Source organism: Homo sapiens, chromosome 3 (assembly GCF_000001405.40).
Source record: "Homo sapiens chromosome 3, GRCh38.p14 Primary Assembly".
In the NCBI taxonomy this organism is placed as follows: Eukaryota; Metazoa; Chordata; class Mammalia; order Primates; family Hominidae; genus Homo; species Homo sapiens.
In genome coordinates, this window is record NC_000003.12 from 27,990,711 (window position 1) to 28,007,195 (window position 16,485).

A 16,485-nucleotide genomic window follows, 5' to 3' on the forward strand; every position below is an offset into this window, starting at 1 on the left:
CTTTGTTCTGGACAGCAATACCATTAGAACATTTACTGACTTAGCTTGTGTCTCTTTGTAAAATCAAAATTTTAAACATAAAATGTCAAACAAGCTTCTTCATGAACCAAAGAGATACAGACAAGTTTCTTTGAGAATGGGGCAAACATTCAGTGTCTTGGTGCCCAGACAGTGGAGTAAGAATGGGGCACAATTAATACAATTTTCTTCATGGTTTTCTCTGATCTTTCCCCAACAACTGATGGAAGAATCAACTAGGGAGTAGTTGTGTACCCTGGAGTACCACTGATCTCATTACCTGAGAATGTCTTTCTAGCCTAACAAGTGAAAACATGCTCTCTTATGATACATTCTTTATTATACCCATGTGCCTCAGAGGCAATGGTATAGCTGGGATCTACTTTGAACAAGATTCTTTTGTTGGCAAACAGAAGATGGCTCTTGTCTTTATAGAACACACCCACAAAAAATGCTATTTCTTACCTATCAAGAGGCCCAAAGTGTATCCAAGACTGGGAGTTAGAGCTATCTTTCCAGTAGCCCCTGCATGGAATAGTCACAGGTACCCACCTGCTTACATGAACATCCAAAGGAAAAACAATTAAAAAATTTGTATCAGCTCTGAGGTTACCCAGATATACAAATGGAAGTTGTAGCTGTCAGTGCTATTAATGTGAAGAGTTCATGATCAAGAGTGTAAAATACTCTCTAGTTTTACGGTAACCTGAAGCCTGGAAACACAGGCAAATGAATATCCATAATAAATGGGTTATTAGTGTTACATTACAATAAGTTATATAGTCAAAAGCATTGTACAATGTCTTCAATATGTTCCTCCTTTTTAGCAATTCATAGCTTAATGCTTTGTACGAAATTGCAATGAGTGTGGTGCATTAATGCAGAATTTCCATCAGTCCCTATATATACATCTGGAATACAATGCCTCAGGAATTTATGTCTCTAATTTTCACTAAATAAACCTGTGCCTTTAGCATACCCCAGAATAAGTAAGTGAAAGGGTTCAGATCTAATAAGCATGCAGCCCACTTCACAAGACTGTGTGGTTCAACCCAATTTACGAAATTATCCTCCACCCAGGCCCTCACCACTCTGGTGTAAGGAAATGGTGCACCGTCAAATACATCCACTCTGGTGACTTCACCTGGCCTGTCAACCTAGAATTTAGAGCTTTTTCTTTATTTTGTAATGGTGGAATGGACTATTCTTATATGGCAGTTTTCTCTAATGAACCATCGGTTATGATTCCATAATTAGAACATAACCTGTGCTGCTTCTTTACATTAATTTATTCCACAAATACTATTAAATTCCTATATGCTAGACTTCACTGTTCTAGATGTTTGAATTACATCTATAAATAAAACCAAACCCTGGCCTTTGTTAAATGTACATTCTAGCAAGGAGATAACACAATAAACAATGAACATATAAGTAAGTATATAATATAGTATGTTTGGAGGTGACAAGTAATGGGAGAAAAAAGTAAGGCACAGTAATAGGAAGTTGCATTAATATCTAGATACAGCATACAATGGGAAAAAATAAAAACAATGACAAATTAAAAAATAAATACAGAAATTTAAATGGTCAATCTATAATAATATTTGGGTATGGCTGAGTTTCAAGAGAAAATGTTGTTAAAAAGAGAAACTTCCACTGGAAAATTGGAGAGGAAACATCAATCTCTTGATCCCAAATATATCTTTGACTTTATGACATGGAGAATTCACAGGTGGAAAATTAGAGGAGATTTCGGTTTATCACTATAGTTGATTCATGCCCTCCTGGGCAAACAAACAGTAGTCTACTTAGTCAACTTTCATTTTCAACTTGAAATGTTGGAACCATTTGTTTGGATTTTCTGACAGGTAGTTGACACTATAAGCCACAAAACTCAATGATCCTAACAAGCTTCAAGTGAAGATGTAGAAGTATCCAGCTCAATGAGTTGCCATTGCTTATACTTTGATTTCCAGCACAAAATGGCTGGCCTTTGGCTGGCTGTTTGGTGAAGCATGCTTATGAGACATGAGGAGCCAGTTCTAACTTCTAATTACATGAGGAAATGCTGTTTGAACATAATGCATTTCCTGGGACTTCTTGGTGTACTCCATCATCCCTCCTCCCCATACACAAACTGTCACTCCCTGACATCCTCAAATCCATGATCCATGACTCCTACTGACTGCCCCAGGAACAATGAGGGTGCTCCCTTAGAAGAAGGCATGGGGGGGGTGGAGTGACCGTTGAGTATACTCTGATTTTTTAAAAAACTGTCATATGGCGAGATAGTGGGTTTCAATGCTGTCACCTATTCAGTCAGCCCAGATGAACTAGAATCACCATTTCAGTTATATCATAGCTCCAGGCAAGAACATGTCACCCCCTTTATTTCCAGCTTCCAACAAGCTGCTTAGGCAGATGCTAAATGTGGTCCTCCCTGCCACGTTGGGTAGAGTGGCCTTTGTGTGGGTTAATTGAGCCCCCACTCCATTTAATAGGCTGTTGAAGTCTTATTGAAACAGAGCTAGTGCCGCAGGTTAAATACATTGCAGTGCTCTTGCTAATCCTCTCATTAACAGGGCTGGAAAGCTTGTTGGGAGCTGTGAGTTTGCATATATTAACAGGGAGCTCTTCACTCAAGTGCTATCAATAAAATGACAAAGCCAGTTTGCAAATAGTGAAATCAACAGTGACACAAAGCTAGATACCTTTAAAAAAATAAACAGCTTAATAACTGATAAATCTTATATTCACACTTGAGAGAAGGTAAAGATAAGCTGGGAAGAGATGACTTTTATTGGGTCAGACTTAAGACAGAAATGTAACTGATGTCAAACCACTGCAGAGACTAGCGGATGAAGTTGAATTGAGAAATGTTGTTAATGAGCCATTGAGGGTAGACCCACATTTAGAAGCACCCAAAATGGCACAGTATGTTGTTTTTTAATAAAGGGGTGGAAAATAAAATCCTGGCACTGGCTGAAATAGGTAAGGTGGAGAGTTGTAGGGTTGCCATCTCCTAGGAAAACCATGCCGACATAACCATTTCAGAAAGCCTGTGGCATCAGAAGCAGACTCCTGATGCTGAGCCTGCTCTGTGCCAGCATGGAAGTGGGGGAAAGGGGACCCGTGAAACAGGGGGAGGATCACAGTGTGTTCAGCTGAAGACTGCCCATCATCAGTTTGTGTGTCACACAAGAAAATGGAAAGAGGATTTGGGGAGAAGAGTATCAGTAGATGGAGATAGTGTCACAAAGGACTAATAAATATGGCACAAAGACAAGATCATTGGCAAATGATCTGTGCTGTTAGCCATCCTTAATGCTTAGTGAAAAGACAAATAAATGCTCTATGATGTCAAACAGCAAAATGGAGCTTTTATGGCTGAGTGGATTTTGATTATCTTGGACAAAATGGTATCTACATTTTAGGAAAAATAAAAGTCTCCCTATGCCAACCGGTTAAATAGCAGGAGTTTACACCCTAGAGTATAATTTTAGAAAATAGCAGATGAGGGGTATTGGTGATAGTTTCCTAGGACTGCTGAAGAACAGGGTTGTTTTGCTGTTCCCCTCCCCGACTTGTTTGTGTGGAAACAAAAAACACCCAGGTATCAAAGTAAATCAAGTGTCACAGATCTGAGAGTTTCTGATCTTTAGAAAGTATGTAACTTCAAAGTTATTTTGATTTTTAAAAAGTGATTTGGACTAACTATCTAAAATTCTGTTGGTAATCAGCCATGTTTAAGTGTTATGGTGGATAATTCTCAACTAGATCCGCAATCATTCTATTGCTAACTAGCTGTGTGACCCTAAGAAAATCATTTATTCTGTCAGAACCTAAATGTCCTTGTTTGTAACATGTATAACTTGCACTAGAGGAAGTCTAAATTCCTCCTAGTTCTCAAATTCCATGATTAAAATAACAGAAGGAAAGAAGTAATTTGTAGATTTTATAAAGAAAATAATTGGTATATTTTATTCTAAAACATAAATGGTCAACATAACTGACTTGTGATAATGGTTTGAAAGTAGAGAGAAAGTAAGCAGTCTTTGATAATTGACTTCTATTTGACCTACTCATTTATCAGTTCCTAGAGGAATGGGGTTGGCCTTACATGTTTCCAAAAAGCCTTACAGGGCTTCACACAAAATTGGCTTTAAATGTTTATTTATTATTATTTCAGAGACCATTTCTTTCATTTATTTATTTATTTTCAATAGAGTGTATATTTATTATTTTAAAAATTACAGCACTGGTAAAATCAGTAATGTGGCATTAGACTGGTATTTTGTTACATTGTTTCAAGTCACATTAAAGTTTCAGAGAAAGTAGAAGTACTGATTTTACTCTACATGTTCAGAGACTATTTCTAAAGACTTTCCAAAACAATGGAAGCTAACATTTAAAAGTTTCTTTTTTTTTTTTATTATTATACTTTAAGTTTTAGGGTACATGTGCACAATGTGCAGGTTAGTTACATATGTATACATGTGACATGCTGGTGCACTGCACCCACTAACTCGTCATCTAGCATTAGGTATATCTCCCAATGCTATCCCTTCCCCCTCCCCCCACCCCACCACAGTCCCCAGAGTGTGATGTTCCCCTTCCTGTGTCCACGTGTTCTCATTGTTCAATTCCCACCTATGAGTGAGAACATGCGGTGTTTGGGTTTTTGTTCTTGCAATAGTTTACTGAGAATGATGATTTCCAATTTCATCCATGTCCCTACAAAGGACATGAACTCATCATTTTTATGGCTGCATAGTATTCCATGGTGTATATGTGCCACATTTTCTTAATCCAGTCTATCACTGTTGGACATTTGGGTTGGTTCCAAGTCTTTGCTATTGTGAATAGTGCTGCAATAAACATACGTGTGCATGTGTCTTTATAGCAGCATGATTTATAGTCCTTTGGGTATATACCCAGTAATGGGATGGCTGGGTCAAATGGTATTTCTAGTTCTAGATCCTTGAGGAATCACCACACTGACTTCCACAATGGTTGAACTAGTTTACAATTCCACCAACAGTGTGAAAGTGTTCCTATTTCTCCACATCCTCTCCAGCACCTGCTGTTTCCTGACTTTTTAACGATTGCCATTCTAACTGGTGTGAGATGATATCTCATTGTGGTTTTGATTTGCATTTCTCTGATGGCCAGTGATGATGAGCATTTTTTCATGTGTTTTTTGGCTGCATAAATGTCTTCTTTTGAGAAGTGTCTGTTCATGTCCTTCGCCCACTTTTTGATGTGGTTGTTTGTTTTTTTCTTGTAAATTTGTTTGAGTTCATTGTAGATTCTGGATATTAGCCCTTTGTCAGATGAGTAGGTTGCAAAAATTTTCTCCCATTTTGTGGGTTGCCTGTTCACTCTGATGGTAATTTCTTTTGCTGTGCAGAAGCTCTTTAGTTTAATTAGATCCCATTTGTCAATTTTGGCTTTTGTAGCCATTGCTTTTGGTGTTTTGGCCATGAAGTCCTTGCCCGTGCCTATGTCCTGAATGGTAATGCCTAGGTTTTCTTCTAGGGTTTTTATGGTTTTAGGTCTAACATTTAAGTCTTTAAACCATCTTGAATTGACTTTTGTATAAGGTGTAAGGAAAGGATCCAGGTTCAGCTTTCTACATATGGCTAGCCAGTTTTCCCAGCACCATTGATTAAATAGGGAATCCTTTCCCCATTGCTTGTTTTTGTCAGGTTTGTCAAAGATCAGATAGTTGTAGATGTGTGGTATTATTTCTGAGGGCTCTGTTCTGTTCCATTGATCTATATCTCTGTTTTGGTACCAGTACCATGCTGTTTTGGTTACTGTAGCCTTGTAGTATAGTTTGAAGTCAGGTAGCGTCATGCCTCCAGCTTTGTTCTTTTGGCTTAGGATTGCCTTGGCGATGCGGGCTCTTTTTTGGTTCCATATGAACTTGAAAGTAGTTTTTTCCAACTCTGTGAAGAAAGTCATTGGTAGCTTGATGGGGATGGCACTGAGTCTATAAATTACCTTGGGCAGCATGGCCATTTTCACGTTATTGGTTCTTCCTACCCATGAGCATGGAATGTTCTTCCATTTGTTTGTATCCTCTTTTATTTCATTAAGCAGTGGTTTGTAGTTCTCCTTGAAGAGGTCCTTCACATCCCTTGTAAGGTGGATTCCTAGGTATTTTATTCTCTTTGAAGCAATGGTGAATGGGAGTTCACTCATGATTTGGCTCTCTGTTTGTCTGTTATTGGCGTATAAGAATGCATATGATTTTTGTACATTGATTTTGTATCCTGAGACTTTGCTGAAGTTGCTTATTAGCTTAAGGAGATTTTGGGCTGAGACCATGGGGTTTTCTAGATATACAGTCATGTTGTCTGCAAACAGGGACAATTTGACTTCCTCTTTTCCTAACTGAATACCCTTTATTTCCTTCTCCTGCCTAATTGTCCTGGCCAGAACTTCCAACACTATGTTGAATAGGAGTGGTGAGAGAGGGCATCCCTGTCTTGTGCCAGTTTTCAAAGGGAATGCTTCCAGTTTTTGCCCATTCAGTATGATATTGGCTGTGGGTTTGTCATAGATAGCTGTTATTATTTTGAGATACGTCCCATCAATACCTAATTTATTAAGAGTTTTTAGCATGAAGGGTTGTTGAATTTTGTCGAAGGCCTTTTCTGCATCTATTGAGATAATCATGTGGTTTTTGTCTTTGGTTCTGTTTATATGCTGGATTACATTTATTGATTTGCGTATATTGAACAAGCCTTGCATCCCAGGGATGAAGCCCACTTGATCATGGTGGATAAGCTTTTTGATGTACTGCTGGATTCGGTTTGCCAGTATTTTATTGAGGATTTTTGCGTCAATGTTCATCAAGGATATTGGTCTAAAATTCTCTTTTTTGGTTGTGTCTCTGCCCGGCTTTGGTATCAGGATGATTTATGAGGCCAGCATTTAAAAGTTTCAAACCTTTCCCATCACCCGCTTATCAGTTGACTTATGATTGTTTAATCTCCAACTTTCTATATGAAAGCAGTTTTCCAGTCTTTCCCATTGATCTCTAAAGGAATCTCAAATCATCCCTTGCTTTCTTTCCTACTGCTACTGCCTTTCTCACGGTTCTTCCTGCTGGTCTTCTTTCCCGTACATCTGCATAAAAGACAGGTCAATTTGCCTAATGTCCACATTCAAATATATTTTTTACCTGCTTGCAACAGTTAGTGAATCGCCACCATGTGGCAGATTAATTACAGACCTGCCATTCAAAACTTTTCATAATCTGGCTCTCACCATGTTAGTCTTATTCTCTCTTACTAAACTCTAAAATGTATGCTTTATATTGAGAGGATTTGCTGAACTTTCCTTTACTTTCCCATTGCTGGGCCTCTACCATCCCAAGTGCCCCCAAATTTCCAAGCACAGCTCACACAGTATCCTAATTTCTTTTTAGTTCATGAAGTGGAAACAAAATAAGAAGCTCCTAAGGTTTGCCATAAATATTCCACCGGAATCTCACATTTTTCATTCCCACATGAAATTCTTTCTGAGATATTAGACAATAAATTTTATTCAGTACTACTAATACCTTGCAAGTTACAAACTTCAATAGGGCAGGGACATTGTCACTATTTTGGAATTGCTGCAAGGTAACTTGAGAAAACCCTTCACCTAAAAGAACAATAAACATTTATTGAATTAAGTAGAATGATTTATCAAAAATACTTGTCAATGGCCCCTTGTGAATTCTAAGCTTCTATTTAAATAAATCCTTTTAAAATGTGGATACTATCTGTGATTTATCCTTTGATACCTTAGAATCTCCATGGTTAGATTTTCCTTAAGAGCATTCATACATGTGGGTAGGCAAATAACTCCCTTGTGAAAGAGGAAATCCAGATTCCCAAGATGGCTGGTAATATCACTAACACAGCCAGTTAGTGATAGGCCTAGGACTGGAAGGGGTGGGTTTTTCTGATCTAGTTAGAGTGTGGCTCATGGGCCAACAGTATTAGCATCACTTGGGAGTTTATTAATAATGCAGAATCTCAGACGTCATTCCAGACATGCTGAGTTAGAATCTGGATTTTAGTAAGATTCCTAAGTGAATAATGTGCACATTCAAATTTAATATTATCTCTTTTCTAGCACTATGGTCTGTAAGCAAAGAAGAAAAGAGATAATTTTGTTGAAGCTTTCAGGGAACAAAATGTTTATTTTAATTGAATCTCATAGATAAATATATGTTCATCAACCCCAACCTGTCATGAAAGTAGTCTAGGACAAAAAAAAAAAAAAACCATCAAAAAAGAAATACATGGTAGGCACGCATTCTTATTTATTCAGGACCAATAATTATTATTTGGAGTCAAAATAAAACCTAAACCAGCTCACATGAAAAGGTATTAGCAACATGCTGATTCAGTTAAGACAAAGGAATGAATATAATTACCTCTTATTTCTATTCTGCCTAAGGAGTTATTCTAGTTTAGCACAGCATTTGTCAAGGCTGCAGTAAAAACATTTTGGTCACTCCAAAATTTCAGTTACCCGAACCAAGTACCCTATATTTCGAATTCAGTTCTCTATTAAGTATAAAAATACTTCTCTTTAGGAAAATTGGGGTTTATTCTGGTCTACAATCATATTGCCAGATTTATAAAGCATTATTTATACCACTTGGGGAGTAAACACATAGGAAATCCTGCAGCTAAACAATGAATATGACCAACTGAATGAATGGAAGTAAAAGAAGACTGAATTTAAATTTACTCTCTTCTCTTCCTTTCTCCTCACCTTTTTTCTACTTTTCTTTAGAAAACAAGATTTGTCAGGGAGTTTCCTTGGAGAAGCACCTTGTCATTTCACCACTCTTTAAGACAACTGTGGAATCCAAGAGGGAAATTCTACCTTAAGAATTCCCCAGTATCATGTTGCCCCAAGTTGAAACTGATCACATTTATCAAACACTATAGAAGTGCTAATGGTATGCGTTGTTATCCACAGTTAATGCAATCAAGTGAACACTTTCAGTGCTCTGGTGTTGGGGATGGAGGGTGAGTGTGCAAGAGCTGTTCTTTGAGTGAGGCGAGCAGGAGAAATTATAACATAGGCTAGTGTGAAGTTCTTTCTTTCTAAAGAAAGACATGAGGGTTTCTGTGTCAATTTGGTGAGATGCTAACAGTTCCTGATAAATTCTCTGTCATTGTTCAATGAAAATGTACATGAAAATGCAAGAAGAGAGGAAGAGACGAAAACCATTCTTCAAGTGGAAAAAATACAAGGCTATATGTTACAGACAGGAGAATATTTTTATTAAATTATAGCTTTGATGGCACTGGTCAGAGAAATATATCTTGGAATACCCATATTTTACCTTCTGAAGAAAAATCAAAACAGCATGTATGGACTGGAACAGTAAAAACAAAAGGGATGGGGGTGTTAAATAAGTCTGCTGCCTTTATTCAGCCCAAGGGCATAAATGCAGCACTACATTCAACTTAGGCACAGTCATCTAACAACATGACAATTGTTTTCCCCCTTTATTAAAAAAATGACCTTTAATAAAGCTTCTGGGCCCATTTAGTTTTACAGGAAATCTTTCCCTGAAGTTTAAAAAATAGAAAATACATGTGTTACAATAATTCGTGCTATAGCATCATAAAAATAGAAAAAAAATACTCATTCCATTTAACCTTATAAAGATAGCAACACTGACGCAAAACTGGATAAGAATCCTCCCTACCCGACCAATAAGAATACTATAGATAAATCCTATGTAAGAATAAGTAGAAAAAATACTAGATATAATAGTATCAGATGAAATTAAGATGACTGTAGTAGTTATATGAGTAGGTAGTTAGGCAGACATAAGCAGGGCAGGAGAGGCCCCCCTTCCCCACCAGAAATGTCAGGCAACCATCAGGTGATGGTCAGGCAGTTGTTAAACTGTCTCTCTAAAATAATAGTTGGTTTCAGCAAGAACCAGGGAAAGGCAGTCTCCCAATAGACAGAAAGCACCTGAAACTGGTTATCATCAGCTTCCTGATAAGATCTCAGGAGTTGGGTGAGTGGGCTCAAGCATCCGCACTAAGAGGAAAATGGCGGTTTAACTGCTATATGGTTTAACTGCTATATGACCTTCCTCTGGGAATGCTCAACTGGTAAGGAAAAAAATGCCTCAAGTGAGCATGCGTACAACTTCAGCAGACACACTGCAAATGTGGCCTCTCCCAAGTGCTGGCAGGCCACTGCACATGCAGAATGCCAGCATATAAAACCCCAACTCAAAGATCAAAACAGCACACTTGAATCTCTCAAGTTACCTGCTCAGCCCTCTTCCAAGTGTGTGTCACTTCCTTTTGTTCCTGCTCTAAAACTTTTTAATAAACTTTCCCTCTTGCTCTAAAACTTGCCTCTATCTCTCTCTCTACCTTATGCCCCCTCAGTTGAATTCTTTCTTCTGAAGAGGCAAGAATTGAGGCTGCTGCAGACCTGTGCAGATTCACCACTGCTAACAGCTACAGGTGTTTAGCCTTCCCAGAACACTATTTCATCCTAAGTATCACAGGATTATCACTGCTTTCTCTAGGAAACAGAGTCTAAAATACATGATGTTTAGGCCAGGTGCAGGGGCTCATACCCATAAGCCCAGCACTTTGGGAGGCCGAGGTGGGAGGATCCCCGGAGCTCAGGTGTTTGAGACCAGCCTGGGCAACATAGTGAGACCCTGTCTCTGCAAAAAAATTAAAATATTAAGTGGGCATAGTGGCACGTGCCTAGGGTCCCAGCTACTCAGGAGGTTGGAGTGAGAGGATTGCTTGAGCTTGGGAGATCAAGGCTGCAGTGAGCTGTGATCATTCCACTGCACTCCAGCTTGGGTGACAGAGAGAGACCTTGTCTCAAATAAAATAAATACGGTGTTTAGCAGGAAGGATGTTTGTTAAGAAGTGTGCTAGGGATCAATTTCTGTGAAAGGGAGACAGGAGAAACAGGAGCAGGAAGAGGGAGACGTTGACTTGTGATACAGGCCCCCAAACATTCTCAGCAGGGCCTACAGGAGCTCTGAGGCTAGAGCAGCCCTAAGTTGGGATGACACAATTCAAAGATTTTACTTCCACATCAATCAGTCTTTGGATATGGGTCACCCTGGGAAGGGACATGACCTTAGATGAGGCATCTCCCACATTCATTGCTGGGAAAGAAGGTCCTCTTTACTCTGGATTTGTTTCAGCTGGTCTGTTGTTAGCCATGTTTTCTGTCACACAGAGAGAGCCTGTCTATCCTAATACAAAATACAAGTGACAGCTGGAGGGAGAGAAAGACAGAGAATCAGAGAAAGTTCTGGGGTTCACAGAAAGTTCTGGGGTTCACAGGTTACTACTTGCAATCCCTGCGGCCTGATTCCTTCAACTTTTCCTTCAGTTTTCTCAGATAGTCCAGTATCTTTTCTAGCAATATAAGTGAAGAAAACTCCCTCTCACTTCAGCTAATGTGAGCTGAGTTTTTATTACCTGACCATTTGCAATATCAGGTTAACTCAGTTACCAAACCTAGGTAAGCAAAACACACACAGTTGACTAATATCAGGTATGAATATAGAATAAACCATAATAATACCATAAAAAAAGCATTAATGTTGCATATAAAAAGACTAACTCACTCTGATGGTTCCTTTTAGGTGTCAAATTGACTGGGTTAAGGAATAGCCACATAGCTTGTAAAACATTATTTCTGGGTATGTCTGTGGAAATGTTTCTGCAAGGGATTGGCATTTGAATCAATGGGCTGAGTAAGAAAGATCTGCCCTTATCCAGTCTGGGCAGGCACTATCCAACCCATTGAGGGTTCAGATAGAACAAAAAGGCAGAGGAAAGGCAAATTCATTCACTGTATTCTACAGCTGGGACACTTTTCTTCAACTAATCTTGGACATCAGAACTTCGGGTTCTATGGCCTTTGGACTCTAGGACTTGCACTAGCAGGCCCCCAAGGTTCTCAGGCTGTTAGCCTCAGAATGAGACTTACATTATTGGCTTCCCTGGTTGTGAAGCCTTTGGGCTTGGACCAAGCCGTACTATCAACTTCCCTGTTTCTTTCACATGCAGATGGCCTATATTTGGACTTCTCAGCCTCCATAATCACATGAGCCAATTGCCCTAACAAATCTTGTGTTAAGCCATTCTTGTGTTGCTATAAAGGAATACCAGAAACTGGGTAATTTATTTTTTAAAAAAGGTTTAATTGTCTCATGGTTCTGTAAGCTGTACAGGAAGCATGGTGCTGACATCTGCTAGGCCTCTTGGGGAACCTCAGGGAGCTTTTACTCATGGTGGAAGGCAAAGGGGGTGTCAGTATATCACATTGCAAAAGAAGGAGTAAGATAGAGAGTTCCGGAGGAGATGCCACATACTTTTAAACAACCAGATATCACAAGAACTCACTCACTATCTTAAGGACAGCACCAAGCCATGAGGGATCTACTGCCATAACCCAAACACCTCCCACCAGGCCCCACCTTCAACATTAGGGATTATAATTCAGCATGAGATTTAGAGGGGGCAACATCCAAACTATATGAAATCTCATCTTCTATATCTATGGATATGTATTCTGTTGGTTCTGTCTCTCTGGAGAACTCTGAGTAATACACCTGCCATAACCAAAGTCTATCCCAGGAATGCAAAGATGGTTTAATATAGGAAAAATTTGTCACCAGTCCCAGTGGCTCACGTCTGTAATCCTGGCACTTTGGGAGGCTGAGGTGGGCGGGTCACAAGGTCAGGAGTTTGAGACCATCCTCGCCAATATGGTGAAACCCTCTCTCTACTAAAAATACAAAAATTAGCCAGGCGTGCTGGTGGGTGCCTGTAATCCCAGCTACTCGGGAGGCTGAGGCAGGAGAATTGCTTGAAACTGGAAGGCAGAGGTTGCAGTGAGCCGAGATCATGCCACTGCACTCCAGCCTGGGTGAAAGAGCAAAACTCTGTCTCAAAAAAAAAAGAAAAAAAAAAGAAGAAAAATTTGTCAATATAGTTTACTGAATCATAACAACTTTCAAATAAGAAAATACATATAATCACCTTAGTAGAAGGGTGTGGTAGGCTGAATAATGGGCCTCCCCAAAATGTCTGTGTCCTCATTCCTGGGACCTATGAATATGTATTTTATATGGCAAAAGGGACTTTAAATATGTAATTTAAGGATCTTGAGATAAAGAGATGATCCTGAATGATCCAGGTGAGCCCAATGTAATCACAAAGGTCCTGGTAGAGGGAAGCAGTAGAGCTAGAGATAGAGAAGGCCATGTGACAATGGAAGCAGAGACTGGTATGATGTGCTTTGAAGAGAAGGAAGGAGTCATGAACTGAGGAGTGTAGAGGGCCTCCAAAAGTTGGACAAAGCAAGAAAACAGATTCTTTTCTCAGAATCTCCAGAAGAAACTGGCCTTGCCAACACTTTGCCTTTTGCCCTGTTAAAATGAAAACTTCAGAAAAATTAAATTTAACAGAGTTTAATTGAGCAAAAAATGATTCACAAGTTGTGCAGCCTCTGGAACCAGAATAGGTTCAAAAGGACTCCAGGGCTGCCACATGGTCAGATAATATTTGTGAACACAGAAAGGAAAGCAACATATGGAAAATAGAAGTAAGGTACAGAAATAGCTGGATTGGTTACAGCTTGGCGTTTGCCTTATTTGAAGATGGTTTGAACAGTTGACTGCCTGTGATTGGCCAAAACTTGGTGACTATTAGAAGAGCAAGTTAGTCTGTTTACACATTCAGTTAGATTACAGTTCACTTGGGATGGATAAACCTTTAGGCTAAACTTAAAATATATAAAGAGGTAGCTTTACAATAAATTTAATTTAAAAGCCCAATGAGACCGATTTTGGATTCTGACCTCCAGACATTAAGAAAATAAATTTGTGTTGTTTTGAGCCACTAAATTTGTGGTAACCTGTTACAGCAGCAACTAGAGACTAATACAGAGGGAAATGATGGTAATATTTCATATTCAATGTTGATTTTTTTTAGCATGACAAAAATTAACAGCCTACTTTAAGTAGCAGCACATAACAGTGTCATGATTATTTTGTACACATTGCTTTGGAATTTTTAGCAAATGCTCTAAGGAGTATAACAGGAATGTAGGTATTTCCACTGAAAAGAAAGAAAAGTAATTCTCTTCCTAGAAAATATAACAAGTTGAGGCTGGGCGCAGTGGCTCACGCCTGTAATCCCAGCACTTTGGGAGGCTGAGGTGGGCAGATCACCTGAGGTCAGGAGTTCAAGACCAGCCTGGCTAACATGGTGAAATCCCATTTCTACTAAAAATACAAAAAAAAAAAAATTAGCTGGGCGTGGTGGTGTGCACCTGTAGCCCCAGCTACTAGGGAGGCTGAGGCATGAGAATTGCTTGTACCTGGGAGGCAGAGGTTGCAGTGAGCTGAGATCACGCCATTGCACTCCAGCCTGGGTGACAGAGTGAGACTCTGTCTCAAAAAAAAAAGAAAGAAAAAAGAAAAGAAAATATAACAAGTTGAACTATGAAAACAGTAGAACTACTTGTCACTTCATACTTCAGAAATTCAAAAAGCTCTGAAATCAGACTTGTTTGCAAAAGTTTGGTGTCCACACTCATTTGTCATAAAGCCTGAATCCAGTGGATGTCAGGCTTTTTATAGCATTGATTTATACATTTAAAAATATTGTCAGTTTATTAGCACATTAGTACATTGACTATGGGATCCTGCCTTATACCTTACTGTAGGTATTATATAATGCATGATAAACACATATATGTATAATGCATGATATATTTGGATTATTATTATTATTACTATTACCTTTCTAAAAATTTAAACTTTAGGACTTCAGAATATATCTGTCTCCCAGGGTTTGCTATGGATTGAGGACCTATGACAGCACAGTTTGATAATGTGACAAGAAATAGGTAAATAAATATGTAAAATTGATTTTATACATTTAAAAAATCAGATAGATGTGATATTTTAAAATATGTTATTTACCCAAATGATAAAATACTTAAGTATAATCTCTCCGTAAGAAGGATGTAGGGCCCCTATGGGAAAAAAAATACAAAATTACTGAGATGTAAAATAAGCCATATAGGTAGAGAGATAAATGTAATGCCATCCTAAACAAAATCTCAATAGAACTTAATTTAGCACTTGATTTTTTTAAAAACCTCTGCAGCCTAGCCTCTCTTTTCTGCCTCCACATTGCTCACAGGCATCACATAAATTCATCAGCAATGTCTCTCCTTCTATAAGGTGAACCCCAACTGAGTACATTTTAATCTCTGCAGAGGGAGGGTAACTTCATTTCTGATATGCGCCATTCAGGGGATTTAAAGCTTTGGGATTGGGAACCACTATTCTCAAATTCAACTGATATAATAAAGATGTGCAAATTAACTTTTCAAAAAACTTTGCAAATAATAATAAGGTCTGCCAGATTGTCAAAAACACTATCAAATAATTAAATCTGTGTGGTACTAATTTAAAAATAAATCATAAAATAGAATGATTTATCTGGAATCAAATCCTAGAATAAATAAAAGTATAATACATAATAAAGTATGCATTGAAAATCAACAGACAACGAAAATATTATTCAACAGTGATTTGAGGATATTACTGCATACAAAAAATATGCTAGGACATTTGCTTATATCAGGGACATGAATTAAAAAATAAAAGGAAACAGGCCAGGCTCAGTGGCTCATGCCTATAATCCCAGCACTTTGGGAGGCCGAGGCAAGCAGATCACAGGGTCAGGATATCGAGACTATCCTGGCCAACATGGTGAAACCCTGTCTCTACTAAGAATACAAAAATCAGCTGGGCGTGGTGGCACATGCCTGCAACCCAGCTACTTGGGAGGCTGAGGCAGGAGAATTGCTTGAACAGGGAGTCAGAGGTTGCAGTGAGCTGAGATTGCGCCACTGCACACCAGCCTGGCAACAGAGTGAGACTTTGTCTCAAAAAAAAAATAAAATAAAATAACATAAAATAAATAAACAAAAGGAAACAAATGAATATTTTAAAAATCTCTGGGTGGGGTAAAGTGAATATTTAAAAAACCTTGCATGGGAAAAGTTTACCAAATGGAAAATTGCAATGGATTGGACTTTTTTGGACCTAATTAATTATTATTATTATTATTATTATTTTGAGACAAAGTTTTGCTATTGTTGCCCAGGCTGGAGTGCAATGGCATGATCTTGGCTCACTGCAACCTCCACCTCCCAGGTTCAAGTGATTCTCCTGCCTCAGCCTTCCGAGTAGCTGGCATTACAGGCGCCTGCCCCAACACCTGGCTAATTTTTTTTTTTTTTTTTTAGTAGAGACAGGGTTTCACCATGTTGGCCAGGCTTGTCTTGAACTCCTGACTCAGGTGATCCACCTGCCTCAGACTCCCAAAGTGCTGGGATTACAGGCATGAGTCACTGTAC

At 38.7% G+C, this 16,485-nt stretch overlaps 1 annotated feature.

Moving 5' to 3' along the window:
• Nucleotides 1,627-3,550: an enhancer, noted in NCBI's record as "VISTA enhancer hs1557". NCBI's record gives its function as "enhancer in: hindbrain (rhombencephalon)[8/8] | midbrain (mesencephalon)[8/8] | dorsal root ganglion[6/8] | forebrain[8/8] | trigeminal V (ganglion, cranial)[8/8]" and the evidence as "EXISTENCE:transgenic organism evidence [ECO:0001131][PMID:17130149]".